The 19,363-nt window shown below is 45.8% G+C and overlaps 1 annotated feature.

Annotated features, from left to right (window-relative positions):
- Nucleotides 961-1,637: an enhancer, noted in NCBI's record as "H3K27ac-H3K4me1 hESC enhancer chr10:132152999-132153675 (GRCh37/hg19 assembly coordinates)". NCBI's record gives its function as "activates a minimal SCP1, AML or CMV promoter by ChIP-STARR-seq in naive H9 embryonic stem cells {active_cell/tissue: H9 hESC(naive)}" and the evidence as "EXISTENCE:reporter gene assay evidence [ECO:0000049][PMID:30033119]".

Below are 19,363 nucleotides of genomic sequence, written 5' to 3'. Positions count from 1 at the left end.
AATGAACATTTTAGTGAGCTCTCTTTACTACCTGATTGGTCGTGTGTGAGCTCAGTTGCAAGCCCCGTGTTTAAAGGTGGATGCGGTCACCTTCCCAGCTAAGCTTAGGGATTCTTAGTCAGCCTAGGAAATCCAGCTAGTCCGTCTCTATTTCATTTGAAACTTAAAGAACAGAGTCTCCCAGGTAATGTCTGGGTTACAAAAGCAGGCTGGGCACAGTGGCTCATGCCTATAATCCCAGCACTTTAGGAGGCCAAGGCAGGAGAACCCCTTGAGCCCAGGAGTTCAAGAGAGCCTGGGCAACATAGTAAGACCTCGTCTCTACAAAAAAATAAACAAAATTAGCCAGGCATGGTGGCTTGCACCTGTAGTCCCAGCTATGCAAGAGGCTGAGGCAGGAGGATCTCTTGAGCATGGGAGGCAGAGGTTGCAGTAAGCCAAAACTGTGCCACTGTACTCCAGCCTAGGTGACAGAGTGAGACCCTATCTCAAAAACATTAAATAAAAGCAAAGCATAAACCTTCAGAGAAATGAAGATTCCTCCAAATCATCTCCTTTAAGGTCTCATTTAGAAAATGTTCGAGTGCTTTCGATTTTCATTTGTTTGTTCTGTTTTTCATAGCTAAGTGTGTGAAGCATGAATTCAAACATTTCTTGACGCTGCATCTTGAGGCCTGCAGTGAGGCAGCCAGCAGAGCCCCAGGTCCTGGCCCTTAGACACGGCATCGCAGGGCCTGACTCTAAGGCAGAACGAGTTAGGAGCGAGCTGAAGCCCTCGTGCAACTAAGCTACGTCTCAGCGGAGCGGCATTCCCCGGGGGCGCTTAAGCCGGTCACTTCTGGCCAAGGCATGGCCAGCAGCTATGAGCACACAGCCTTGATAAGGGTTCAGCCACTTTGCCCACAACTGCCTGTGTATAAAAAATAGATGTGGTCTTTGCCCCCACTTCCTGGCACAGAGCTTCAGTCCCTGCTGGGATTTCTAGAGCCTGGGACTGTTTTTGTGATGCTAATGAATCCTGGACAGGAGGGATGGACAGCTTCAGGGTGAGGCTGCTCTGCAGAAAGCCACCCGCAGGCCTAGAGGGCTGCAGCGTTCAGCCTCCTGACCCAGGGAAGGAAGGGGTGCTGGGGACTGAGTTGCATCATGTGACCATGACTTAGCTGTGTCTATGTAATGGAACCCCTATAAAACTCTGGACAACGAGGCTGGGGGCGCTTCCTGGCTGGTGAAGGTGTAGATGCACCAGGCGGGCAGTACCCACCAGGCAGGCAGCACCCACCTCTGCAGCACAGAGCCTCTAGACCTTCCCTGGGCACCTCCTCTGTGCCCTTTGTAATAAAGTGGTCATTGTCGTGTGGTACTTTCCTGAGTCTCCTGAGTCATTCTAGTGAATTATCAAAGTGGAGGTGGGGGTTAGGGACCCTCCAATTTGTAACCAAGTCAGACAGAAGTGTGGGAAGCCTGGGATCCCATTTGTAGCTGGCATCTGAAATGAGAGCAGTCTCAGAGGACCTTGCTCTTTAGCATGCGGGGTCTGCGCTAGCTCCGGTGTTTAGTGTGAGAGTCGAGTTGAATGGCAGGACCCCCAGCTGGTGCTGGTGAAGGCACAGTGGGCGAGCAGAACCCCCATCTCTCTCTGCTCCTCGCATTCGGTCTCCAGCCACTCTCCTGAGAGATGGATGCTTCACCCAGGGTCCGGGTCTCATCCTTCAAGCAGACTTTTAGAACCTGCCACAAAATCAGGATTCTTTGAAGGTTTCTACCTTCTGGCATCAAGGATCCAAAGACTCATTTCAGTGATATGTGAAATGCGGGATCAAAGCTTCATTTCAATGATCAAAGGATAATAGAGCAAAGGAGACACGATTCTATTGTCAAAGTGATAAAAGACATTAATAATAGATCTGTGAGATAGCAGCAAGGAGGCGGGGAAGTGCCACGTGGGGGACTGCCATGCTTTCCATGCAAGCCCACAAGGTTTTCCACTAGTTATTCCTGGAATTGGTTAATTAAACCTAATTAGTTCTATCAACCCAGAGGAGGCCATGCCTCAGAATTCTCAGTGTTAGCCTAAGGGCTAGAAAGCTCACAGTGTTAATTATGGACCCCACCCCTGTGGGAAGAGAGATTACAGGATTTCTGAAGGAGCAGTCAAAATGCACCTGCAGGGAGCTGGGATGAAAGATGACCACAGAGCCACCGTCACTGCCCTGCCACCCATGGGCAAGTCACTTAGCCCTCTTTGAAAAAGATCCAAACCCAGGAAAACATTGATTCTCAAAAAACAGCACCGAGGTCTTCCAAGTTGCCTATTAATTATCAGGTTGTCCATCAGCACCCCCGGGATGGAGGAACAGGGAATGAACAGCTGCAGAACTGGAGCAGGTCACCTGCGGTGGCTCTGAGCCCAACACCGCCTCTCATTTTCCGCTGTAAATTATTATCCATGTCATCGATTTTACAGATTGTTAAATACTCAATTGGTCTAAATAATACACATTTCACTGTATACCAAGTCGCATATCAACAATGAACCTTCATTAATAGTAATTAAAACAAATATAGGGCAAGAGGCCTTCAGTCATCTAGAACTTAAACTCTTCAGATAATGAAATGGTTTCTTCCAAATCCTAGAATGGTTGGAGAAGTGGAATAATGAGCACACAATGCAATTTCTCATAGAACATGACAACCTACGTTTCCAGGATTTCTGTAAACCTACTGATTGTAAATAATAATAATAATATAATAATAATAATAATAATAGATCTGCAGACTCAAAAAACAAAAGTAGATATCGGATCTGTTTTTTTGTTTGTTTGTTTTTTGAGATGGAGTCTCGCACCGTCTCCTGGGCTGGAGTGCAGTGGCGCGATCTCGGCTCATTGCAACCTCTGCCTCCCAGGTTCAAGCGATTCTCCTGCCTCAGCCTCCCAAGTAGCTGGGACTACAGACGCCTGCCACCATGCCTAGTTAATTTTTTGTATTTTTTGTAGAGACAGGGTATCACTATGTTAGCCAGGCTGGTCTCAAACTCCTGACCTCATGATCCACCTGCCTCAGCCTCCCAAAGTGCTGGGATTACAGGCATATGAGCCACCACGCCCGGTCCAGATCCGTTTTTAAAGTTTATGGTATTAATTATTTAATCAAAATAATGATGTGATCACAGAAGCTCCAGATCAATGATCATTTGCACCTAACTGTTTGTTTCTGAGTAAAATAAAAACACCCAGGTCATATCTTTTCTAAAAATGTTTTAATCATAAATTAATCTTCAATTGAAAAAAATGGGGATTTTAAAACACTTTTTTTTTTCTTTTTGAGACAGGGTCTCGCTTTGTCACCCAGGCTGGAGTGCAGAGGCACTATCTCAGCTCACTGCAGCCTCGACCTCCCGGGCCCAAGTGATTCTCCCGCCTCAGCCTCCTGAGTAGCTGGATCTACAGGCACACACTACCATGCTCAGTTAATTTTTGTATTTTTGTAGAGATGGGGTTTTGCCATGTTGGCCAGGCTGGTCTTGAACTCCTAGGCTCAAGTGATCCGCCCACCTCAGCCTCCCAGAATGCTGGGATTACAGGCATGAGCCACTGCCCCCAGCCCAATTTTAAAATACTTTTAAGAGCTTTTTCTACTGGCATAATAAAACTTTTTTTTTTACAGGAAAACACTACATCTTTAATTTTTAGATCAAAGTATTAACCTTAAATACATTTTGTTTTTATTCTGCCATTAGGCTAAAGGAAAGTAAGTAAATCAGGTTGGTGAGTTACTCACAAGAGCCGCTACTCAACACTGATCTCCAGTGGCCACCGTGGGGCAGCCTCCTAATAATGGGAAAGGGCAGGTTTCCAAACAGAAAACCCGAGGGACTGCAGGCAATGGCCAGGCCAGAGGGGACCGGCAGAGACAGCCACACAAAGCTGGGATGGGGGCCTGACGCCTGGGCCGCCTCAGCTCTGAGAGGCTGCCTCCGAGCAAGCAAGCAGGATCTGTGATGGATTGAAAGCGACTGAGACCCTTGTCCAAGGTGCCCTGGAAAAAGCGCTTTGTTTCCCCCTAACTGGGCAGCCTTGGAAGGAGGGGTGGGCTCATTCTAGCACTCAACCCTCCTGCTGAACTCAGTTCTTTCCCTTCCCATTCGAATCGCTGGCTGAATAATGTTCCACCGTCAGATGATCAGGGCCAGGCTCCTGCCTGGGACACTGTTATTTCCATTACTGAGTTTCACTCTTCAGCTGAAGTCCCCACTACCTTTTCTCTGCCTGCGATGAGCCCCACAAAGGAACCTCAGGCAAGTCCAAAATGTGGCAGAGAAATGATCTGAATGCACTCTGCAACCAGTGACACCATATGTGCCCCCGGGGCCTCTGCTCCAGGCTGCTGCTCTAGGGTGGCCAGGCAGAGGCTCTGTGGGGCGGTGCCGGGCGGTGCCAGAACCCAGGAAAGCACAAAGCAACCTGGGCTGGGGATGCCTTTCATTGCCTGGAAGAGGCCAACAGCCTATGGATTTAAAGTCTGCACCGAGCAAAGCAACAGGCTCTCTGCAGACCCTGCACAGGCCACTCTCTTAGCACAAACCACACTCACGTACCCTGGCTCTTGGGCTTTCAGCAGCAGGCCTGGCCCTGCATCCCAGCTGGCAGAATGTGTGCACCGCTTCACACACACAGGCACACATGCGGGTACAGGCAAGTGCACACATAGAAGCCACAGGTCCAGTCTCAACGGATCCCAGTGGGAGGCCTTGCCCAGTTCCCAGACCACGACTGGAAGAGACCAGACAAACTAGAACAGACCGTGGGGCGGGGGGCCTGGGGCTCTCAGCAATCCAGGCCTCTTGCCCCAGCGGTCCTGGGTGAGGGAACATACATGGGTTAACCAATGGGAGACAATGATCATCAGCACCTCCACTCGTCAGAAGAGGCAGGCAGGGAGCAGAGAGGAGTCAGTTTTAATACCAGTAACTCACAAATGGTGACCAGAAAAGAGCTAAGATATTTTCTGCCACCCCCACCCCCTGCAGCCATGACTGCCACCCACCCACAGTGACCTTTCCAAAGCGGAGCATTTGCTCCAGTCCAAGCCACCTGTCCTCACCCCAGAAGGAAGTCCACTGCATGGCAAAGAAGCCCCCATGGGCTCTGGCTCACCTGCAGCTTCCCCACCCTCATCTCTGCCCCCACCCTGTGTGGCCTGATCTGCAGCCCTGCAGCTTCCCCAACACAGCAAGTGGCCTGTATGTTGTGGGTCCTGCTCAGCCACAGCCCAGGCGTCCTCTCTGCAGAGCCTTCATCCACCAGACTGTTTGGATACTTTACTTGCTGTGAGCTTCTCACAGGTAAGAATCACTCCTCCTTCAATGCGTCTTCCCAGCACCCAGTCCAGATGTTCACACCAAGTAAACACTGGAGAATCATTCACTGGAATTGAAGGGGGGGGGGGTTGGCAGCTATTAAACAGAGGGCAAGCACACCCCGTGCCAGGGAGGCCCCAAATTCAGGGAGACCCCAAAGCCAGGCTCTGCACCAAATGGGCCCCTTCCTCAGCACTTGTGTAGGGACTCCTAACAGAACAACTTCCAACAGAAGGAACAGACCAAGTTCAGCTGCCCCAGTATCCACCGCTTATGCTCACAGGCTAAATGCTAGGCGCCATGTCATATTTTCCACAAATGTGTTCAAAGTCTACATTTAGAAAGTGGATTATGTTAGAAAATTCTGCTCCCAAATGTTTGAAAAGTACAGCTATAGATATAAGACAGTGACACATGTCATTGTCAGCAAAAAAAATCAAACAACCATTTGGAAACATCAGCTTTCAGCTTTTCCCTGCTCTCCCCAGAGCACAAGTTCTTCCCAAAAGGTAGTTCCTTACTTGGTTAAACCATATCTTTACTCTGAAGGTTCAGATTAAATTATTTATTTTTTTCAGAAATGTATCTTAGCATATTCTAAGACCCACTTGTCATCATAGGAAAGGTCAGCAAATTTAAAATACATCCTTTTGTAAAAGGAAAATTATGTTTAAGTTGGAAAACTAGTTTAACCACAAAATATTTCATAATATTCCATTTCATTGCGAAGTATTACAAAGTGTCTATTCCAAAGTCCTTGCTTTGATAGAAGTAGTCACGTAATTGATTTTCTGTTTCTTTTGCACACTGCTAGTCTCAACCTTTTAGCCACGCTACTTTAACTTGATGCTAAGGATGAACCTCACACACACTGCTGACCTCTGGAACTTTGTCCTGGAATCCTTCGCTTCGCATTTCTGGCTCAACTTACCACTTCATCTGGGACTATACTTAGACTGGCTTTCCTCAAGCATTGTTTTTATTTAAAATCTGCTCGGGGCCAGGCACAGTGGGGCCAGGCGTGGTAGCTCCTGCCTGTAATCCTAGCACTTTGGGAGGCCGAGGTGGGTGGATCACCTGAGGTCAGGAGTTCGAGACCAGCCTGGCCAACATGGTGAAACCCCGTCTCTACTAAAAATACAAAAATTAGCTCAGTGTGGTGGTGAATGCCTATAGTTCCAGCTACCCTGGCGGCTGAGGCAGGAGAACCGCTCGAACCCGGGAGGTGGAGGTTGCAGTGAGTTAAGGTTACGCCACTGCACTCCAGCCTGGGTGACACAGTGAGGTTCCTTATTGACTCAAGAGAATGGATTCTTCATGTATTTCTACATTAAGACAGATTATCACAAACGCCATAAGCCAAGATGTATGAGATTCAGTCATATTTTATGCACCTGCATAGCATGGTTCCCACAAATGTATAATTTCTTCCAATTCTTGTTTGCTCACATCTTCATCAGTATCTCTTATGTACCCTCCAACAGTATTTGCCAACAAAGAATACATTTGGGTTTGTTGCCATATTGTTTCATGAGACTTGTTTCAGCCATTTTACCTCAGCAGGAAGAACAAACCTTTACCAATAGTATCATGAATTACTGTCTTTCACGATGAAACCACAAAACAGGCTTCCAAGTGTATATCAATAACTTAAGTAAAATTATGTAAAATCACAAACTGAGTATTGCAGGATTTCAAAAATCTCTAATTTTGTAGGGCTTTATCCATATTCTTAAATATTAATTTTTAAATGGCTTGTGTGTCCTGTGCTTTTATTGATATATAAAGGCATAAAATTCAGTTAGGTTGAGGACCGTATCACTAAGAGTAGTGGATGTAAACTTCCACTTCTAGCATGATGGGGAAACTAATACAAAAATTGCCCTCCCATCATACAATGAGAAAACGGGACAGATATATAAAACAATAGTTTTCACTTGTTAGAAAACAGGCAGGGCATCCTCGAGTCTGCTGCGGAAGACTAAGCTACATATATACAGGGTAAAATTTCACAAGGCTGGGAGAAGAAAAGCAGGTGCGCTGTAAGATGAACAATGCTCAGAGTGTGCATAGAGGTAGGAGCCACTCGAGTTCCAAAGAGCTGAAGTGGAGAGACATCATTAAACACCTAGTGAGTTCAGAAGAGACCTCAGATATGCCAAGCCTCAGTCATAGGGCTGAACTAGCTTTAGAGTGCAGGTTACCCCCTCTAACAAGCTTAAAAACAAGCCTTGAGAGAATAACATTGATTGACAAGTAACTTAGTTGCATGCCGGAATATAGTTCAACACTCTCTAAGGGAAAATGACAAAATTGAGCCCTCAGTAATGTGGTATTTAAATTTCCAAGTATTCAATCAAAAAGTAACTAGACATGTGAAGAAGCAGAATAATGTGACCCATTACAGGGAAAAGGCAGCCAATAGAAACAGACCAAGAAATCACAGAGGTGATAGAATTAGCAGTTAGACCTATAAAACCTATTGTAAATAGGATCAAAGCCGGGTGCAGTAGCTCACGCCTGTAATCCCAACACTTTGGAAGGCCGAGGCGGGTGGATCACCTGAGGTCAGGGGTTCGAGACCAGCCTGGCTAACACGGCAAAACCCCGTCTCTACTAAAGATACAAAAATTAGCTGGGCATGGTGGCGAGTGCCTGTAATCTCAGCTACTCGGGAGGCTGAAACAGGAGAATCACTTGCACCTGGGAGGCGAAGGTTGCAGTGAGCTGAGATTGTGCCACTGCATTCCAGCCTGGGTGACACAGCAAGACTCTGTCTCAAAATAAATAAATAAAAATATGAACTTCATAAGGAAAAAATAGAAGATATAAATATGAATAAAATAAAACTTCTAGACTAAAAAATACAGTATCTAGAATGAAAAAAAAATCCCTTATAGATTTCACAGCAGGTTAGAGTATTACAGAAGAAAATATCTATGAACTTCAGGACATGCAAGTAGAAATTATGCAAACTGAATTTAAAAATTAAACAAACAGAATTGAGCTTCAGGAAGTTTTGAGACAATACCAACAGGTCTAAAATATGTGTAAATGGAGTAGCAAAAAGATAAGGAAAGCAGAAAAAAAAAACAGCAACTGAATATTTTCCAAATTTAATGAATACTACAATATCCTAGTATCTCAATGAAAATGAAAAATAAACACAAAGAAAACCAAACCAAGACACAATGATGTAAATTGTTAAAAACTAAAGATAAAGAAAAAAATATTTTTAAATATCTACAAAAAGAACCATATTATGAATGAAAGAGGGTACATCACCAAAAAGCCTATATTATAGATAATAAAAGAATAATATAATACACTTTGTGTTCAAACTGTCAAAAATGTAGACAGAATAGAAAAAGTTATTAAAAGACACAAATTACCAAACTGACTTGAGAAGAAATGGAAAATCTGCATAGTCCCATTCTTATATTTGTTAAAGAAATTCAACTTATAATGAGAATTACCCCATTAAAAAAAACCTCAGTACGAGATGACTTCACTGATGAATTCTATCACTTAAAGGCAAATAAGACAAATATTGCCAAAAATATTTGAGAAAAAAGAATATCATTTATCAAACCATTTTGTGAAGCTAGCAGAACTCTGATATCAAAACCAAAGATATTAGAAGAAAGACAAAATATTCAGATAACTATCACCTGTGATACATGATGCAAAATTCTTTAACAGAAGATTCTACTTCTACTCAAAATGAATAAAAGGGCCTAGCTTTACTCACCTGCTTGAATCAACTAAAAAAAAAAAAAAACAGACAAAACGTATGAAACAATGGTATACAAGACATTGGGTATCAGACAACAAAAAACAATAACCCACAGACAATAAGAAAATGAAACAAGCCCTATGATTGTCCCGCTTACTGCTTGGAGAAAGTTTTCAGGTCTCAGGGCAAGGTGGTTTTCCTGAATTGAGGAGATGTAGCTGAGAGCCTGGGGAAACCAAGGCAGCTAGAATTCACAGGGCAGAGTATCATAGAGGAAAGAGCTTCACAAAGAGAGAACTCAGGAGATCAGCAGAGTCTCCCTCAAGTATTCAGTTGAACACTGACCAGTGCATCTGCGTGAGGACATACTGAAGCTGGGGAAATAGCCATCTGTAGGTTAGAGGAATAGGTTTCAGTGCACACCAAGGGACTGGAATAGTACCTGTTTCCAGCAGCCTAAGTTGAAAACTCTATCATTGAGAAGGCATTGGTTGTACTACCAAGAGGCATCTTGACTCAACAGTGGGAAAAAACTAACCCTAGACTAAATGTAGAGTCCCAGATAACAAAGCTTAAGAGAAAGATCCAAAAAATCAAACTGTTTACAAGTAAATTAACCACATCCAAGAACAAAACTCAAAATTATTTATAGGATAAAAAATATTCACCACCCTACAAGATGCAACTCACAGTGTCTGGCAACCAAGCAAAAATGACCAGGCATGTAAAGAAGCAAGAGAGCACTGCCCACAATGAGGGAAGAAAAATCAATCAAACCTGACCCAGAATTGACACCGAGGGTATAATTAGTACGTAAAGACATTAAAAGAATGATTGTGACAGTATTACATTTACATACCTTAAAGAAGCTAGAGGAAGGATTGAGCATGTTAAGTACAACCTAATATATGATCCAGTCTTTCTACTCCCAGATATTTACCAAAGAGAAATGAAAGCACTTGTCCATGAAAAGAGTTCCACACGAATATCCCTAGAAGCTTTCTTTATAATAGCCCCAAACCAGAAACAACCCAAATGTCTATCCACGGGCAGATGGATAAACAAACAGAGGTATAGGCATGCAATTGAATGCTTCTCAGTAATAAAAAGAAATGCAACATTGATATATATCACAACCAGGATGACTCTGAAAATAATTTCACCTAGTGAAATAAGCCACACACAAAAAATCTCCTGTATGTTTTCATTAATACACAATTCTAGAAAATACAAACTATCATAACAGAAAGCAGATCTGTGGTTGCCTGGAGAAGGAAGTAGTATAAATCAAGTAGATGAAGGGGAGGAGGGATTGCAGAGAAGCATGAGGACACCCTGGGGTGATCTAAGTGTTTATTTTTGTGATTGTGGTGATGTTCTCAGGGGTATGTACATATGCAAAGATTTAGCAAATATGCACTTTAACCATGTGCAATTTGTTGTATGTCAACATACCTCCTTAAAGCTGTTAACATTTTCTTAGCCAAACATTCAATGACATAAACGTTTACAGCATCTTTATTTGTAAAAGACAAAAACTGGAAACCACTCAGATGTCCTTCCCAGGGTGGTTAAACAAGCTGGTGCATCTACACCGTGGGACACTACTCAGTGATAAAAGAACAAGGTACGGATGAGTAAAGCACATGGACAAAGCCAGAGAGTTATGCTCAGTGAAAACCTCAGTCCCAAAAGATTGCATGTCATGTGACTCCATTTATATAACATTCTTTAAATGACATATTCTAGACTTGCAGAGCAGATAAGCTATTGCCAGGGGTTAAGGAGGGATGCGGACAGAAAGCTGTGGGTATGGCAATTAAAGCGCAACAAGAGGGATCCTAACAGAGCTGGAAATGTTCTGAATCTTGGTGGTATGGATGTCAGTGTCCCAGTTGTGATATCACACTGTAGTTTTGCAAAATGTGACCATTGGGTAAAGCATATGTGGGATCTCTGTGCATTATTTGTTATAATTTCATGTGAATCTACAATTACCTTAAAATAAAAAAGTTTAATAAAAAAAAACAAAAAAATACTGTACCTACAGTAATAACATGACCTGGAAAGCAAGTGAAAGCCCTTGCCTAAAAGAAAAAATATGCAGGAGGGAGGGCACTGTGCACCCTACTATGCCACACAGTAGAGTTTTGACAATTCCTGAGGTTATACACATTGTCACAGAAACACAATAAGAGTGTTGGTAGAAGGTGATCTTTAAATAATTTCAAATTTGTGTCTCTTTCCCAATCTACACTGCCTGAAGCAAAGTATGATTTAACATTTTTTAAATAAATTCTGTAATTATCTTGAAAACAGAAGAATCTTATTACTTTTCTTTATGTTAAAATATTATTTAATGTCAACATATAAAATATTCCACAAATTCATGATTCTCCTTTGGAGATCTTCATGTTTTAATCATCCATGAGCCTCAAAAAATAAAAGAAGGAGAAAAGGAATATAGTTCTAAATATAAACGCCAGAGTTATAAAACTGCTAAGAAAAATTCTAGAAGAAAATCTTTGAGACTTTGGGAAAGGCATAGTTTTCTTAGATAGGACCCAAAAAGCATGAATCAAAAAAAAAAAAAAGAAAAGAAAGTTGAACTTTATTAGAAATAAACTAATTTTTAGAAATATACCCCTAAGAAAATGAAAGGCAAGCCACAGATTGGAAAAAAGACTCGCCATGCATATATTTGGCAAAAGGACTTGATCCAGACCATATCAAGAATTATTTCAATCTAGTAAGACAATATTTTTAAAAATAAACGCAAGATCTGAACAAATCCTTTTTTTTTTTTTTTTTTTTTTTTTTGAGATGGAGTCTCGCTCTGTCACCCAGGCTGGAGTCCAGTTGCACGACCTCAGTTCATTGCAAACTCCGCCTCCCGGGTTCACGACATTCTCCTGCCTCAGGCTCCTGAGTAGCTGGGACTACAAGCACCCGCCACCACGCCTGGCTAATTTTTTTTTTTTTTGCATTTTTAGTAGAGATGGGGTTTCACCGTGTTAGCCAGGATGGTCTCGATCTCCTGACCTTGTGATCCACCCGCCTCAGCCTCCCAAAGTGCTGGGATTACAGGCGTGAGCCACCGCGCCCAGCCACAAATTCTTTACAAAATAAGATAAATGAATGATCAAGAAGCACTTGAAGAAAGCTCAGCATCATTGGTCATGGGGAAAGACATACCAAAACCATAACGAGACGCTGCCACGGACATATTAGTGTGGCTAACATTAAAAAGACTGACAATTCCAAATTTTAACAAGGATATGGGGAAACCAACTAACTCTCATCTATTATTGGCAGAGCGTGAAATGGTACAACCACTTTGAAAAATAGTTTGGCTGTTCCCTGCCTGCACTTACCAAGAATTTCCATTCCCAGGTATTATCCAAGAGATTGAAAAATTAGGTTCACACACACACAAATGTGTCCATGATTGTTTGTAACACTTTATTCATAGGAGCTAAATCTGGGTACAAAAGTTCCATCAACAGATGGGTGAAAGAACAATTGTGGCATAGCCTAACACTGGAACACTACTTCACAGTAAGAAAGACTTTATCTATCTATACACACAACAGGAACGAATCTCCAAGTCCTTATGCTGAGCGAAAAAAGCCAGACACAAAAGAGGACAAACTGTGTGATTCCATTTGTATGAAATTCATCACACGGACAGAAGAGAAAGCAGATCAATATTCACCTAGGGCTAAAAGTGGGGAAGACAAAGAAACAGGGAAGAACCCTTTGGGATGAAGAAATCATAACATATCCTGATTATGGGGGCGATTACCCAGGTGACTTGTCAAACACATCTACAGATTATTAAAATGAGTGCATGCTGTTCTATGTAAACTACCCCTCAATACCACTGATTTTCAAACAGAATAGAGAGTGTAAATCCATATCTCATGTAGGCTTCTTAATAAGGCTGACACTTTTTGCCCACTTCTTGTCAAACCCAGTTAGAATCTTTTTGATGTGTCTGGCTGTTTTTACTATTTAATGTAGCTGGTGAAGAACTTGTCCTGGGCACGGGAAGTTCTGTTGGTTTTCTTGTTGCTAGCACCTGTTTGCATTACGTGTAACATCTTCAATCTCCAATCTTCTTCTCAGGACTCTTTGCAACCCACTTTTTGAAGGGAATGATTTCCTTAGACCTAGATGAGGTGATCCATAAACCCATCCTCCTGGCACGTGTGAGAAGCAATGCTCTGCAGTCCACTGGGAGCAAGCCACACCTGTTGTTCGTCTTTTACATTCTCTACGTGGGGAACTCCTGCCTGGAAACTCCAGATGAAATGTGGTTTTCTAAAATAAAGACTAAGGGAGGATATCCATCTGCATTCTTGTTGGTTAAAATTAATTTATTTTAAATGAAAAATAATTAGAAGGATATTCTATATAACAATCTAAAATAATCACCTACCATGTGCTTCCCACATCCCACTCTGCAGAGTCCAGTCTTGAAGGCTGGGGAAACTAGGGAGGCAGCAGGATGGAAAGAGGGACGACAGCGTGGCCACGCCCTGGCAGGAGGGACCTCTGCTGCTCAGCTCTACAGCCTGTCCACCTCATCTGCTTCATTGCATTAATTTGAACTTGATGCTGTCTGGAAATATTCAGGATATGTGCTGAGACCACAACGACACTCTGAGGTGTCCCCAAATGGTCCAGCTAGGAAGGGGGAGCATCAGAAAATCTCTACTCAGAGTCACCTTGCAATCTCAGTTTCCACTTTCCCAAGCATTTCACCTTCATAATTTTATGTATTCACTTTCTTGTCTAATGTTTACAACAGCCATGGGAGGCAGGTAGGGAAACAAATATAATTTCCACTTACACGTGAGCCCGCCAAGCCAGGAAGGAGCCAGGTGAGCATGGAGGGCACTTTCTTCGACAGAGCTCTGGGACTTGTGAAGTTCTTTGCTAGTTCTGTCTGTGTCTCACTGTCTTCAGGAGACAAACACACACAGGCACACGCATGTGCATACACATATATGCATGCAAGCATACGTGCACACACTAACACACATCCCCCACAGTCACGTCTGGTACTACCTCCTAGCCTGGACCCATCTGGGCTTCTCCACCAGAACTTCTCAGCCCCAACTCCTGTCTCCTTGCAGCTTCACACCTGTATGCTCCTTCTTCTTGCTACATCAGCAGCTGGCAGCCAGCCTCTACCTCCATTTCATCCCCTCTACACCCCACTGCAAGTTGGGGGACACTGAGGGTAAGTGGGAATAGGCAGAGGTTTGCCTCCTTGAAAGGGTGCGTGTACCTCCTGGTTTTGTCCATCTTCCTATTCCAACAGAACTCCATTCTTGTAGCCAGAGGGGTGTGGACTTTGGAGAACAGAAAATCCCTTAGGGAACAACAGCCTTTCAGCAAAGAAGCCCACATTTTCCTGGGAATGCCTTGGCTCAGCCCCTTCTTATAGGAGGCTGTGATTAGTGTTTGACCCCAAGATGGCCAAGACACTGATGCTCCATCCATTCCCACGGCCCCCATCAACCTGGAGACAGTTTTAGAGAAAAGGAAATTCCCAGCAAATGGCTGCGTTTGGTTTCATCACGAACTCCTGACAAGGGCAAACTTTGAATTGGAATCCCTCCACCTCCAGCCTTCCATTGTATGCCCAAGAAAATACAGCAGAAAATCCTGGGAGACAACTGTGGGTTCAAATTGTATTCAGGGCTGATTCCCAAGGACCGGGACTGTGGACTGTTAACACAGCCAGAGGGCCTCCTAGCGGCAGGGAGCAGCATTTTCTGCTGGCAGAAGTGCTTTGCACACAGAGGACCTGGTCCTTCTGTCTACAGAGCTGAGAGAGCCTCTCTCCGCTTCAATGCAGTGCTAATCCATCATTTCCAACCCTGGAGACACAGACGGGAATGTCACCCCTCTCCTTCCAACTCAGGGTATAGTTTAACTTTCTTCTAAATGTGACATTTTTTCTAATGTCACATTCAGAAAGAGAGAAAAAGTCCCCATAACAGTTGTTGCCTGTTTGCGTCTGTCCCTGGCCTTAGAAAAGGATCCCTGAGGGTGAACCTAGTCAGGGAGAACTCCAAAGAGCAGCCTGGGCCACAGCCTATCGGCAGGGCTCAATGGAAGGGTGGCCAGGGGCTTCTTTGACCTGGAACCAGACTCAGGGAGACAGCCAGGGCATGCAGCCATCCCCCAACCCCCACAGGGGGTACTGAAGGCAAACGAAGCTCAGAGCCAGCCCAACCGTGATGCCCCCTCCCCAGGACATGTCATGCTTGGGGATACCTCTCAGCCAGGCTACAATTCAACCTCTCAGTTTGGAATTAGAACAATTCAAGGGAAGATGTAGAAGCAGAGGGCGGTGGGCTAAATGGTGGACCCCAAAAGACGTGTCCACATCCTAACCCCCATACCTGTGAACATGGCCTGATTTAGAGATAAGGACTTGGCAGATATAATCATGTTAAGGAATCAAAATGAGATCCTTCTGCATCTAGGGCGGGCCCTAAATCCAATGACTGGGTTAGAAGAGAAAGGAGAGGGAGTGGTGACAGACAGCAGGGGAGAAGGCCCTGGGAGGATGGAGGCAGAGGCTGGAGGGAGGCAGCTATGAGCCAGGGAACGCCAAGGCCTGGGCTGACCTCCAGGAGCAGGGGAGAGCCATGGATTAGCTTCTCCCACAGAATCCCCAGAAGGAACCAACCCTGCCAACACCTTGATCTTGGACTTCCAGCTTCCGGAGCTGTGATACAGACAATAAACTTGGGCTGTGGAAGCCACCAGTCTGTGGTATCTGTTACCGTAGCCCTAGGAAGCCACTGTGGAGTTGAAAACCATTTGAGATGTGAAGTCCGATCAGGAACCTGCCCTCTGGAAAGGTCTGTGCCGGCACTGCCATGACTGGAGGATACAGCAGCCCATTTCTCAGCAGGGAACGTGACCTTTGACTGGCCATTTCATTTCTAGAAGGTCAAAGGAAGCGATTGGGCATGTTTGCAATGCCCTAAGAACAAGGGTGTCGCTGCACCACTTGTGTACGGATGCAAAACAGTGGGAGGGCCACGGCCTCCTCCCCACCTGCTCAAGCAGAAGCCTGAGACCCCCTGGTCCTTCCAGGACCCTCTCCTCGAAGTCTGTAAGCTCCAGCCAGTTCCAGCTGCTGCAGGCAGTGACTCCCAGGCCCACTGCACGTATAAGCCTGGTCTTTCGGGGAGCACAGGGACCCCACCTGTATCCCACTCAGCCTGAGACAGTCCAGCTGGCACCTGCTGACCAGCTATCTCATCCAGTTTAGCTTTTGTCCCAGAATTTTTAAATTTGAATTAAGTAGTATTAATAAGGGCAGCTCAAGAGAAGTCTAGATGGGCTGGGTAGGCCCTGTCTCTGCTCCCAGCCTCTGCTGGGGCGACGCCTCATGGTTCAAGAGACATAGGTATGCTGGTCAGTGCTCCTTCTCAATATATGGTTCAGTCTGAAAGGCCCCAGCAGCAGCTTGCCTGTCTCTCCCGGCCCCTGCCATCCCGAAACATGGAAATAGCTCATGGTGACAAAAAAGTTAACATAATCTGCATTTAGATGAATTTCCTCTGGATTTACTAGGGTTAATTAAGATAGTACGATCTACAGAAAAGAAAGAGGTAACTCAAGATATCAGCATTTTCAATTTATCCATAATAAAATACAACTTTGAAAAAGAATTCAGGCAATCTGTTGAAAACTAAATATAACATCACATTTTGAAAAATATATTTTTTAGAAAAATAACAGTGCTGCTCAATTCAACAACAAGGCCCCACTCCTAAAGGAATACGCCAACGTTCAAACGCAAGGCGACTGCTGACCAAGTCAGCACAGAGAGACGACGCACACTCCTGAAGGCACCCAAAGGCTCTATGTGGGGGCAGAACCCCCAACAGACGGCAGTCACCTGGGGACTTCCATCATCAGAACCAGTGGAAAGAATGGGCCCCTGTCCCACGGCCTCTGGTGCTTCTCCATAGAGTGGCAGCCAGGAGCCCAACCCCTCGGAAATCCTCAGGGCAGGAGATGTGCCTTCATTCCACCCAGTCCCTCATTAGTGCATCTGACATCCACAGAGGGAATTCCCACAATGGTCCCAACACTACAGATCCCCCCACTCCCCCCGCCAGCACCATTCCATGACTCTCGATCCACCTTCTTCCTGGGATCCTGTGCTGGGAAGCCTGGCCCTACCGTGGGTGTCTTCATGGGGCTGGGGGCTCTCAGAGTAGTGGCCAGCCAGGCCCGGCAAGGCACAGTCCTCCAGCCAGGTAAAAGGGCCAGACCCTGGATCCTGGTCCCACCCCCATGTCTGGGACGCCCTCCTCTAGCCAGGCCCTCAACCGTCAGTCCTCCTCTGATTCTGGGCTGCTCTGGGAGACTCATGTCCACCCACCCCAGCTGGGGCACCGCATCTTCTTTGGGTCTTGGGTGTTTCTTCTTCCAGAGCTGCAGACAGGTTTCTTGGGTGGGGTCAGAACCTGGACATGCCTGGGCCACCAGGAACCAAGAAGTTTCCAACCCCAGCCCCGTCTGGCTCCATCAGGTGCAAGGGGCAGGGTGTCCCCATCACTAACCAGGTCAAGAAAAGAGCTGAGGTTGTCAGTTGTAGAACACAAAACCTACAACAACCCCCCCCCCACACACACACGCACATACATGTACTCACACACACTCACACACACTCATTCACACTCACGCTCACACACATTTGTAAAATCACATTCACACACACACACACCAAGGGCAGGTGCTGGAGCGCTGTCCAGCCCAGAGAGCAACTCACAGACCAGACCCCTTCCCAAGCAGCCTGTACCATGGAGGGGCTACAGGGAGGAGCTCCGCTGGGATCTGCCAGAGCCCCTCCTGGCTGGGCCAGATGCCAAGCCCTGGCACCTGGGCAGGCCAAAGGGTGCATCCCGGGGTGCCAGGCCTGGCTCAAGGCTTCTCTGGTGTCAGGGCACCTGCCTGGGAGACAGGGAGCCTCTGTGCTTACTTTGTTCATCTAGAAAATAGACCGCAGCCAGTCCCCGGCAGCCTGGGAGCAGCGCTTGTAGAACACCATGCCAGGACGCTTTGAAGAAGGGGTGAGCTTTGGGACTTGTGTGGCGAGGTCAAGGCCAGCAGCTGGACCTGCTTCATGACCTTTGCTAGCTCCCATGACTCTGCTGTGCCGATCGATTGCTAAAAGCAGATGCGATGGGCAAAATGTCAGCTGCCCCAGCCCGTTCCCTTCTCAATTTGTGAGATCAGAACCTCGGCACTGCAGCAGATTCTGGATCAGGTGCTGGGGCAGCAGCAGCTCATGTTTCCAGATGGCGATTGTGCAAGGAGGCCTAGAGCCTTGGAGTGGCCGGCACCTGTGACCCAGTAATTCCACTCCTGTGACTTTCTCCTGAGGAGCCGCTGAGGACGGGCTGCAGTGTATCATTGTAAAGGCCAAAGCCCCAGAAACAGATCAAATATCCAAAATCAAAAGGAAATGTTGGAATCAACCACATACATCCATAGGCAAGGTGTTATGCCACCATTGAAAATGACATCAAGGAGGAATTTGTAAATTTGTGAAAAAATGCCTATGAGAGAATATGAAAAGAAAAGATTACACCACAAACCTGTTGGCCTGCCAGCATGGTGAGAAGTCACAGTCCCTGCCTAAGCAGGAGGCACGGCTGTTGGAGCACTGGACAGCAAGCGACAATTGCAGGCTGGGGACCAGCGCCAGGACGAGCCTTGGAGCTGACCTCACAGCAACAGATGCCTGCGCTGACGCCCGTGACCAAGGAAATGGTGCACGTTACTCGGGCCCGTTTCAGGCGTGAATTACAGTTAGGAGCTGCATGCACTTAACACACAAACCCATCCAGAGAAAACAGGAAATGAGCATCAAACACACGCAAGAAACCCTGCCGGCTGGAGCCAGGAAGGTGGGACAAGATGAACTTGAAGCTGGCCCACCCCAAGGCTATGGAGCAGATGAACATCCTTCCGAGCCTCCGCTAGCCTGGTGCATGGCAACCCAGGAGGGCAGCATGGAGGAGGTGTTCTTTGAGCCAATCCTGAAGGAAGGAAGGGGCGTGAGGAGGTGAGGGATGGAACTGTGTATGGAGGGAACAACGGGGCACCCAAGGCAACAGCAACCACTCAGTGAGGCTGAGAGAGGAGACTCTTTGCAGGCCGTGGGGAGCAGCACTTGGTTTTGTACAAGGACAGAGAGCGCTCCTTTAAGAACAAGGCCT

This window comes from Homo sapiens, chromosome 10, assembly GCF_000001405.40.
Source record: "Homo sapiens chromosome 10, GRCh38.p14 Primary Assembly".
Taxonomy (NCBI): Eukaryota; Metazoa; Chordata; class Mammalia; order Primates; family Hominidae; genus Homo; species Homo sapiens.
This window is presented reverse-complemented; position numbering and strand designations above follow the sequence as displayed.